The sequence below is a fragment of the Homo sapiens genome, chromosome 5 (genome assembly GCF_000001405.40).
Source record: "Homo sapiens chromosome 5, GRCh38.p14 Primary Assembly".
Taxonomy (NCBI): Eukaryota; Metazoa; Chordata; class Mammalia; order Primates; family Hominidae; genus Homo; species Homo sapiens.
In genome coordinates this window covers 84,741,047-84,753,808 of record NC_000005.10, presented here as the reverse complement: position 1 = coordinate 84,753,808, position 12,762 = coordinate 84,741,047, and positions in this window count along the sequence as shown.

Below are 12,762 nucleotides of genomic sequence, written 5' to 3'. Positions count from 1 at the left end.
CTGAGCCTACAGAAAGCAAATGTAAAGGACTTGGAATTCAGAGGCTCTTATTTATCATTCAAAAAGGCAAGATCCACTTTTGCTTCTAATTCTTTATGTTTTATGGGAAAATAGCTGTGAATTCTGGTAGTTTTTAAATCACTTAATAGTTCCAAGCATGTCTTTATAATTTTCCGGAAACAAAGCCAACTAAGTTATTTTCTTGTAATTTTGAATTATAACATTCTTAAGACTTAGACAAGTAGTTTCAAGAATGCTGAATAAGAATTACATAAATTAAGCATAGGCAGAAAAATATTCATTTAGGCATATGTATTTTTGAAATTTTCAAGTTTATCACCAATACATAGATGTACACATATACAATGTACATATGCATATACATATATGTGAATATGTGTGTATCTATGTATACAAACACATAGACACAAACACATGCACACGCTGAAGGATAAGGTAAGGCAAAGAATTCTACATATTTTGCATCAGTACCTGATCCATAGAACAAGTCATTAATCTGTCTGTCTACTTCACCCATCTTCATTTTTCATACAACATGTATAGACTGCTTAAAATATGTACTTTACATTTCAATCCTCAACCAATTTCAAACCACCCTCTCACACATATAGGTGTTAAAAAATCCCTACACACTATAAGGCACTATTTTATAGTGCCATCGAGCACAAATTCTAGAGGGAGGCCACCTAAGTTTGAAATCACGTTTGTTGTTTACTGATTGCATAACATATGGCAAGTTACTTACACACACCTAGCTCAGTTTCTGCATCTGTAAAACAGAAATAGAAACACATACTACTCCTTTCAAAGGTCACAATCTGAATGGTGTGCCCTTTACTTCCACCCATTGGTCAGAATTTAATCATATGGGCACAGCTCACCACAAGAACTGGCAAGCAAATGTGTTCTTTTTTTTTTTTGAGTCATATATGCCTCAAAATAAAATAAAGAAACAATTAATGCTAGATGATAAACATAAGTCTATTTTTCTCAATGCAGTAGCAGAAAATTAGTATTTTAAGGTATTAGCCAGATCTTGCCATTCTTTTATTCATAACTTTGGAATAATATTAATATTATTATATTAATATTATATATATATTATATATATATAATATATATAATATTATAAAGTATAATAATATTAATACACACATATTCATTTATTATGAAGTTCACTAATCTAAAAGTCTTGTAACACAGTTTACAAACAATAATAAAACATGCATTCTTCCTTTTCTTTTTTTTAGAGACTGAGTCTCGCTCAGTTGCCCCGGCCTGAGTGCAGTGGCACCATCATGGTTCACTGCAACCTGAGTCTCCCAGGCTCAAGCTATCCTCCCACATCAGTCTCCTGAGTAGCTGGAACTACAGCCACACACCATCATGCCCGGCTAATTTTTTAATTTTTTTTGTAGAGATGGGAGTGTTCCTATGTTGCCCCCAGGCTGGTCAAAAACTTCTGGACTCAAGCAATCCTCCTCCTTAAGCCTCCCAAAGTGCTAGGATTACAGTGGTGATCCATGCCCAGCCCACATTATTCTTTATTGAAAATTCCATAACTTTATAACTTCAGATTGAATTGCTATTTCTCCCAAATTCCTCTGTTTAATATTTATATTACAAACAGTAATGTCTCAAATTCAGGCTAAGAATAAATGTTTAATCACTATCCAACTCAACTTACTAGCCTCTCATCTCATTGACAAACAAGTGCATTTTTGACAAGAATGCTGGTTGGTATTTTTGTCTATGTTAATGACAAGACAAAAGTAAAACCATGAAAACATGTCAGAACTTCTCTTATTAGTCAATGATGTGAGTTCCTTCTTTGATACGTCAGTAACCCTTTTTGAATGCTAGTAGAAAATTTCCTCATTTTTTGTGTTATCTTCAATGCAGCTATAGTTCTAGCTGCATTACTGTTTTCTCCATCATTTTATCCATCACTTTCTTAAACCAAGAGACAATTAAGAAAGCAATAAATCAGTAACTGATTCGCAGCATTTGACAATTTGCATGCTTTAAACAGTCTTGCAATGGCCAGTTATATACCACCAACATGACATCTCTGAATGGAATGTTGAGATGTGAAGTAACACAATTATGTAATATGTAGTACAGGATTTTTTTTTTTTTTTTTTTTTTTTGAGATGGAGTCTGGTTCTGTCACCCAGGCTAGAGTGCAGTGGCACAATCTCGGCTCACTGCAGCCTCCACCTCCTGGGTTAAAGCAATTCTCCTGCCTCAGCCTCCCGAGTAGCCGGGACTACAGGTGCGCACCGCCACACTTGGCTAATTTTTGTATTTTTTCAGTAGAGACGGAGTTTCACCATCTTGGCCAGGATGGTCTTGATCTCCTGACATCATGATCTGCCCACCTCAGCCTCCCAAAGTGCTGGGATTACAGGCGAGAGCCACCATGCTCAGCCCTTGTAGTACAGGATTTTTACCATATTGACAAAATAAATGTATATAACGTCAAGACCATATGTGATAGTAAAATATAGTTAAATAATTAGGAAAAATGAGTTTTAAATATTTTCCTTGTTTTTTCTATAATTTGCTTAATTGTAAGTTTATATAATTAAATTTTTAAAATGGAAACATGGAAATGATTATAAAATTTCCAAGTCACCCCATTTTTATTTCATACTTCAATCAATCATTCTCTATATAAGGCAAGGGACAATAACTCTCAGTTTTAGAATCAATACTGGGAAATGTGCAAAATAAACTTTACATTTCGAAAGAGTATGTGACAGGAGTAATATGGTATCTATTTTCCAGTCATCTCTTCAGTATTGTGTCAGTGCCAAGTGAAGTTGCCTTTCAACATCAAACATCCATTAGATTTGATGACTAGTATTATGATTATCTTACACCTCCCAACATCAAGTAAATATATTGTAGAGAATGTAAGCAAACACAAGTGGCTGAAAATTTCAAATTTATTTCTCAGAAAAGATCATGTTTAGAGATCAAACTCATACATGAACATTTATTCGTTTTTAAAGGATGATATTTCTTACATTGGCTTTATTGGCCTATAAGTCTTGTAAATCAGATGAGACATTCGTCTTTTGTTTTAGCCATAATCAGAGTCTCACATTTTTCACTCTTCTACCTCATAAACTCCAGCAGATTGGGTTATAAATACTAAACTAGTGGGATCTGCTGCCAAATACTGGCGTCTCTGCCCTCACTTTTCAATTGTTATTTTTTTTTTCAGAGGACTTCTATCTTACTCCTATTCCTGTCCTTTCATACCATAGCCTGCAGGCAAAGTTTCCCAGCAGTCACTAACACCGACAGTTTCTTCATCATTTCCACAGTGGTGCAGATCAAATACAAGAGTCATGCAAATCTTGCAACAATCAGAAAATACAAGGACTCGATAGAAGTGTAAGTATTTCCATTGCAAGAGTCTGAACTTGGAAAAGGTCACACATGTTGGACTTACAACCTATAGAAATGTAAGAAAAGAAAATTGTGTGTGTTTGAATGATGCTTTATATTTTTTAATTTTTAATTGTAGTAAAATATACTTAACATCAATTTACTATCTTACCAATTTTTTTATTTTATTTTTATTTTTTTGAGACAGGGTCTTGCTCTGTCACCCAGGCTGGAGTGCAGTAGCAAGATAATGGCTCACTGTGGCCTTGACCTCCTGGTCAAGTGGCCTTCCCACCCCAGCCTCCTGAGTGACTAAGAATACAAGCATGTGCCACTTTGGTCAGCTAATGGTTTCTAGTTTTTGCTAAGACAGGGTCTCACTATGTTGCCCAGATTGGTCTCAAAGCCTGAGCCATTCTTGTACCTTGAGTCACATATAAAAATGTAGAAAAAAATAGAAAAAAGTTACTGAAATTTCTAACTACAAAAAAAAAGAATATATTTAGCCCGAATATCAATGAACTCCAAAAACAGGAAAAAGGGGCCACTATGTTAGAACTAGTTATTTTTAACCCTGTTCACATCTGAAAATTTAACAAATAAATGTGTGTTTGTGTATGTGTGTGTGTGTGCATGAGCATGTGTGTATCTTCCTGTGCTACCATTTAAAATTAAACTAATCATCACTCTGGACAGAAAAAAAAATAAAACTATCTATGATCCAGCAATTTCACTATTGGGTATACACTCAAAGGATATAAAATCAATATGTCAAAGATATATCTGCACTCCTATGATTATCATAGCACAATTCACGATAGCCAAGTTATGAAATCAACCCAAATGCTCACAAACAGATAAATGGATAAAAAAAATGTAGTATGGAAATTCTGTCACTGACAACAACATGTGTGAACCTGGAATATATTAAGTGAAATAAGCCAGACACAGGAAGACAAATATCCCTGGATCTCACATATATTCAATCTAAAAAGTGAAACTTGTGGAAGGAGAGAGTAGAATGGAGCTTACCAGGGGCTCAAGGGAGTTGCTGGGGGTATCAGGGTGACATTGGACAAAGGGTAAAAAAAATTCAGTTAAGAAGAATAAGCTTAAGAGATCTATTCTACATATGGTGACTGTAATGAGTAACAATGTATAGTATACTTAAAACTTCCTGAAAGAATAGATTTCAAATGTCACCACAACAAAAAAATAAGTATGTGAAGTAATGCACATGTTAATAGCTTGATTTAGACATTTCACAATTTACATAGATTTCAAAACGTGTAATACAGCATAAATATATACATTTTTATTGGTCAATTATAAAAATAATTTTTTAAAGTATGTGTTATTCGCTCACATATATAACTTGTAGTGTACTGTTGCATTTCTTAGTCATGTTAATATATAATTATTTTTAAAAAATAATATGGAAAAATAATTGAATTTTCTGCTTAGCATATACTAGACAAGACAGAAAGACGAAACCTGTTGCCTAATGATGCCAAATAAAGCATGCCTTCTACCAGGACTATATTATGATCTATTAGAGGATTCTAAAACTTAGCTTGAATTTTTTAAGTGTTTTTGATTGTGATTTAAATTTTCCCTTTACCTTGCTGTGAAAATAATATAGCAAATGAAACCCAAAGACATGTATCAGCCCATGATCCAAGACAAAGATGTTACAATTATCTTGGAAAATAAATTGAGACATAGTGGTTAGGCTTTTTAATAACTATTTTAGTTGGATCTTGAAATATCTTTAATAGCTTCGCTTAGGCATGGGCAGAAATGGTCTTCAGATTAATGATGTTCCTGATGTTCCTTGATGTTTCTTATTCCTTGAATTAATGAGATGGAACAAACTGCTGCAGTCAGCAACAAAAGTAAATATTGTACATCAATTCAAGGGGAAACAACAAGTTTTCTATAAGGAAGAAATGCAGCAAAGTTATTGCAACTATGTTTTGTTCTGATGTTCATTTGGAGGCCCAGAAAATAGGATAACCATACTTTAGCTTATATTTCAGCAATCAATCATATAGTTTATTTTCTTCATCTGTATTACTTTGCATATTCTAATGGCTTTTGTTTTACCATTTGGGGACCTCATTGTTAAGTATATGCAAAATTAATAATTATTAAAGGAACACTTTCAGAGAGACATTTATCATCAAAGTTTCTATTAAGTTAAATAGTAAAGATAAAGTAGTATCTTGTGGAATCGTATTTGGTGGAAATATTTGATAAAAAATATATATTTTGTAACGTTAACCCTATCTTGAGTATTTTAAATGGAATAAATACTTCTTGGCTATATTGCTTTTGTAAAAACCTTTGATTATTTAATAGAGAAAAGAAAATCATGAGCACCATGAAACAAAAGTTATTTTCACTGCATATTATTGGTGATAGAAACTTAGAAATTCATTTTCTTTGTGCTACATTTCACAAAAATGTTTTTGCTCTCCTAAGATATCTATATTTAAATATAGATAGGCATCATTTCTTATGCATCTATTATAGCCATCCTTTCTTATGCATCTATTATAAGAATAAATATCTATTCTAAGAATAAGAATGTTTTAAAAATAATGATAGTAGCTGTGAAAGACAAGTAGTATAATTAATAGTTTAAAATGTACTTTGGTATAAATTGGAATTAATTTAATTTTAACATCACAAGCAGAATATTATATTGCAGCTCTGCATCATTAGTATAATTTTAATAATATGTACTAGAGTATACTACATATAGCAAATCTGGTGGCTGATCAGCAAATTGTTTCTGATTTCATCCTGGGTACCACAGACTACATTTTCAGGACCCCTTACAGGTGTAACCATGTGACTGAGTGCTGGCCAGTGAAACACCAATGGACATGATGTATACCATATCTACAGCTAATACACAAAATGATTATGCAATCCTCCAAACTTAATTTCAGCTGCAAGATAGAAGATTTAACTGAAGACTCCTGGAGTCTAGTGTTAGACAGAGTTGCTTGATAGAAACCTATACTCCAGAATGACTAGATGGAGCAGAACCACCACCCATGCCCTGCCCTGTTAATTTGCACTGGTCAGTGAAGTAGACACAAAGTTTAGTTGTGATAAACCATGGAGATTTTGTGATCATAACTGCACTAAAGTTAGGTATGCTAACAAACACAGTGAGAAATGTACGTAGGATTCTAATCAGGAAAATAAGCATACAGGATTCAAGGTCACATTCCTCTTAACTCACTGGCCCTGTGAGGCAATTGCTCCTATCTGAATTCCTTCCACACAAAGTTCTCCTCTTTTCCAATAGTAATGTATACCCTATGTTAAAGCCTTAGTATTTGGCACATAGCAAAATTCTACATTTCCTATTCCTAGTATTCCTTGGAGCTGGCTGTGAGTCTAAGTGTCTACAGATGATCTGGAGCAGAAAATACAGGTATAATCTGCAGGTATTCTTAAAAACCTTTCTTGCTTTTCATCTTTGTATAGGCTGAGTCTTGGACTTGGCAACATACCAGCTTTTACCACACAGATTAAGAAATAACATCCTGGCTAGGTGTGGTGGCTCACGCTTATAATCCCAGCACTTTGGAAGGCCAAGGTGGGTGGATTACAAGGTCAGGAGTTTGAGACCAGCTTGGCCAACATGGTGAAACCTAATCTCTACTAAAAATACAAAAATTAGCTGGGTGTGGTGGCATGCGCCTGTAATCCCAGCTACTCAGGAGGCTGAGGCAGGAGAATCGCTTGAGTATGGGAAGTGGAAGTTGCAGTGAGCCAAGATCACACCACTGCACTCCAGCCTGGGCAATAGGGCAAGACTCCATCACCAAAAATAAATAAATAAATAAATAAATAAATAAATAAATAAATAAATAAATAAATAAATAAAATAACATCCTAGTTAATAGCTTAGCAGTCAAATGGCTGAATTTTTTTTTTTTTGTCCCTAAATGACAATGTGGTCTAGACCACATGAGAGGGAAACAAATTGCTGTCTTACTAATGCTGCAGTATATTTTGGCCTCATCAGTATGGCAACTGAACATCTATCCTAACAAATAAATACATCTTATATATAAAGATAGTTTACCTCATTTGTTCAACTCTGAATTTGGATGAGCAAGTTCCAGAAATGCCTCCTGAGTTTCTAGTATTATCAATTTCTCTTAAACCCTGTTGTCCGCTGCCTTGGGTTGACTAATTTTTCTGATTAGTCTCCTTAATATATTGAAAAGAAAAACCACCATGTTCTCTTGCACATTCCAGAATAGATAATATTTTGTCCATACCTGCCTTTTTTCCTCTCTTCTTCTGAATAATTGTCCCCTATGACATTTACCTCTTTTCTGCTTATAAACTTCTTAAAAATATATGCCTTTTAGCTGTTGTAAGAAAAATTATTTCCTTCATTGGTATAGTATAATAGTCCATGAACACTATAGGATAGAAAAGGGAACAATTGGGGAATTGCTTAATTTTTTAAAAAAATTTCATGTAAATAAGATATAAAGGAAAAAAACACTAATTTTGTTGATATAGGCACTTTACAGAAAAGAGATGACCAGAATGTAAAAAAGTTCCTGAAGATAAAGAGTATATCTACTCTCCCCTGTCTATTTAACTCATCTAGGAAATATTCATTGGTTAAATTATTACTAAGCTTATGTGTCATTATACAATCACTTATAATTTGCTTTCTGTGTCTGTGGTAACAATGACTTTTGCTGTGAATAGTTCAGATCACTTCTAATTTTAAAAATACCTTAATTGATTTCTTACTATATTCCCTCAAGAAAAGCTTCTAATTACTACTGGTGTCATTTTTGTTCCTTCTTTGATGTTTAACTTTGATAATTGAGAAAAGACAAGCTCCACTGAAATCATTAAATAACAACGATCTTCTACTTTTCTAGATAATTTAGATTGAAGGCTGCATTTTAAAAGACACCATTGTATGTTATCACTGTTGACCTTCAAGTCAGAATACCTGAGCTCATATCTGAGACTGTCACAAATCTGCTTTTTAAAATTATGTTTCATAGCACCAAACTCTTTAAAATGAAGGCACTAGACAAGATGATACTTCTTTTTAATTAGTTGTTGAATGTATACAAGAGAATAATTCTAAAATACATTTGAGGGTCAATACAACAATGAAATAAATGTCCGTGTATGCATTCAGGTTAAAAAATTGATCAGGAAGTCCTAGCCAGAGGAATCAGACAAGAGAAAGGGATAAGAGGCATCCAAATTGGAAAAGAAGTCAAACTGTCTCTACTTGCTGATGATTTGATTATATACCTAAAAAACCCTATACACCAACAGTGTCAAAGCTGAGAATCAAATCAAGGACTCAATCTCTTTTACAAAAGTTACAAGAAAAAGCAAAGAGACAAACAAACAAACAAACAAACAAACAAAAATATACTTAACCAAGGAGGTGAAAGATCTCTACAAGAACTACCAAACACTGCTGAAAGAAATCACAGATGATGCAAAAGAATGAAAATATATCCCATACCCATGGATTGGAAGAATCAATATCATGAAAAAGACCATATGTCTGAAATTATCTACAGATTCTATGCAATTTTTATCAAAATGCCAAAAGCATTTTTCACTGAATTAGAATAAATAATCCTAAAATTTATATGGAAACAACAAAGAGCCCAAATAGCCAAAATAATTCTAAGGAAAAAAAATCTGGAGGCATCATATTACCGGACTTCAAATTATGTTACAATCATATAGTTACCAAAACAGCATGGTACTGGTATAAAAGTAGATATATAGACCAATGGAACAGGACAGAGAATCTAGAAATAAAGTCAAATACTTACAACCAACTGATCTTCAACAAAGCATACAAAAACACAAATTGGGGAAAGGACACCCGATTAAATAAATGGTGCTGGGTAAACTGGATAGCCATATGTAGAAGAATGAAGCTGGATCACCACCTCTCACTGTATACAAAAATCAACTCAAGATAGAACAAAGACTTAAATCCAAGATCTAAACCCACAAAAACATCAGAACACCTAGGAAAACTCTTCTGAACCATTGATCTAGGCAAAGAATTTATGACTAAGACCCCAAAAACAAATGCAACAAAAATAGAAATAAATAATTGGGACTTAATTGAACTAAAAAGTTTCTACACAGCAAAAGAAGTCATCATCAGAGTAAACAAAAACCCCACAAAATGGGAGAAAAATATTTGCAAACTAACAAATGCTGGCAAGGATGTGGAGAAAGGGAACACTACCACACTGTTGGTGGGAATGTAATTTAGTACAACCACTATGGAGAACAATTTGGAAGTTTCTCCAAAAATTAAAAACAGAACTATCATATGATCTGAGTATCCCACTGCTGGGTACATTCCTAAAAGAGAGAAAATCAATATGCCCAAGAGTTATATGCATTTCCTTGTTTGTTGCAGCTCTGCTCACAATAGCCAAGATTTGGGAGCAACCTAAGTGTTCATCAACAGAGAATTGGATAAAGAAAGTGTGGTACTTATATACAATGGTGTACTATTCACCCATAAATAAAGAATAAAATTCAGTCATTTGCAACAACATGGATGGAATAGGAGGTCGCTATGTTAAGTGAAATAAGCCAGGCACAGAAACACAAACATCATGCATTCTCACATATTTGTGGGACTTAAATCAAAATAATCAAACCTATGGAGAGTGAGAGTAGAAGGATGGTTACCAGATGCTAGGAAAGGTAGTGGGGGCTGGGGAGGGAAGGAGGCAGAGATGATTAATGGGTAAAAAAGATAGAATGAATGAATGAGGTCTAGTATTTGATAGAACAGGGTGACTTTAGTTGATAATATTTTAATTGTACATTTTAAAATAACTAAAAGTATAATTGGATTGCTTGTAACACAAAAGATAAATCCTTGCAGGGATAGATACCCCATCTTCCATGATGTGATTATTACGCGTTGCATGCCTGTATCAAAACATCTCATGTACCCCATAAATATATGCATGTACTATGTACCCACAAAAATTAAAAAATTAAAAACAGAAAGAAAATATTTGTAAACTGTACATCCACAAAGGACTACTATCCAGGATCTACAAGGAACTCAAACAAATCAGCAAGAGAAAAACAAAAATCTCATCAGAAATGGGCAAATGACACGAATAGACATTTCTCAAAAGAAGATAAATAAATGACCAACAAACATATGAAAATGCTCAACATCACTAATCATCAGGGTAAATCAAATTAAAACCACAGTAAGATACCACCTTACTCCAGCCAGATTCGTCCCTGATTGAAGGTTAAAAAACAATAGATGTTGGCATGGATATGGTAAAAAGAGAATTCTTATACACTGCTGTTGGGAATATAAATTAGTACAATCTCTACGGAAAAAGTATGGAGATTTCTTAAAGAACTAAAAATATGTCTACCATTCTATCCAGCAATCTCATTACTGCATTGTATACCCAAAGAAAAATATGTCATTATATAAAAAAAGACAACTGTATGTGAATGTTTATCACAGCACAATTCACAATTGCAAAGATATGGGACGCACCTAAGCACCCATCAACTGATGAGTGGATAAAGAAAATGTGGTATAGTGTGTCATGGAATACTACTCAGACATAAAAAAGAATTAAATAATGTATTTTGCAGCATCTTGGATGTAGTTGGAGGCCATTATTCCAAGTGAAATAACTCAGAAATGGAAAAACAAATACTGTGTGTTCTTATCTGTAAATGGGAGTTAAGCTATGAATATGCAAAGACATACAGAGTGATGTAATGGACTTTGGAGACTCAAAAGTGGGGAGGGTGGGAAGGGGATGAGGGATGAAAACTACTTATTGAGTACAACATTCGCTATTCAGATGATGGGTGCACTAAAATCTCAGACTTCACCATTACACAATTTATCCATGTAACCAAAAACCACTTGTACCCCAAAAGCTATTGAAATTAAAAAAAAAAACACACCACGTGCCCCCAAACACACACCCACACACACGTGTACATATATATGTAATAAGTCATAACCATTATCTTTGTAGTCCCTATTGACACACCTCAATCCATTGCCTCTCTGACTTTTGAGAAAATGACTATACTGAATTTTACATATTATTGGCATTCATTTCTATATAATTTTATCATATATCTTAGCAACTTGTACAGTGAAACAATTTTAGCCTTTAAGAAATTATAATTGTCAGTCTAATTGTATATCTATCTAGATCCATATCTATATCTAATCTAGAAAGATCTCTTAAATTTTTGACACTTTTAGGATTTTTCTGTAGTGGTCATATTCCCTGCATATGAATTCTTTTCTATTTAATGACTTGGGATTCACTGGGATTTCTGAATTGGAGGATTACTGTCTTTCATCTATTAGTTCTGGAAACTTCTCTGATAATACTTCTTTCCTATTTTCTTTCTCCTCTTCTTTTCATAGTATCCTCCATAGTTCCTAATCTCTTTTGCATGGTTTCTGTGCCTATCTTACTCTGCACTGCATTCGAGATAGATTCCTCAGGATCTTTTTTCCCATATTTTAGTTTTATTGCAGCTATGCCTAAACTTATAATTACATCATCATTTTTATTTTTTGAAATTCTGTTTTGCCCAAATTTACCTAGGTATTTTCTATAGTTTCTTCATTTCTGACATTTACTCATACTGGAAATTCCCAGTTTTATTCAAGTACCTAAATTGTTTTTAATGTGAAATGTACTACGCATGTAGAAAAGTTTATAAAATGTAAATGTAGAAATTGATAAGTCATCCCAGAGTGAGACTTGTATGATTTTCACCGAGGTCAAAAAATAGAACATTTTCAGCACTCCTCTCCTCAAATCCTTTCCAAATCATGACGTCCTCTGTATCCTGTAAATACAATTACTATCCTGAACTTTATGGCAACCACTTAGTTATTTTCTGTTTTCTACACTTATACACACACTTATCACGTATCAAAATTAATGCTGTTGATTTTTGACACTAAATAAATAGAATCCTTTGACTTTATTCTCTTTCCTTAAAAAAATGTGTTGTAAATACTGGTGAGAATATGGAGAAAGGGGAACTCTTACACAACAGTAGTGGGAATGTAAATTAGTACAGTCATTATGGAAAGGAGTATTGAGGTTCCTCAAAAAATTAAAAATAGAACTACTATTAAATACATAATCCAGCAATCTCATTACAGGGTATATACCCAAAAGTATTGAAATCAGTATATCAAAGAGATATGCTTGTCACAGCATTACTCACAATAGCCAAGATATAGAATCAACCTAAATGTCTACCAAC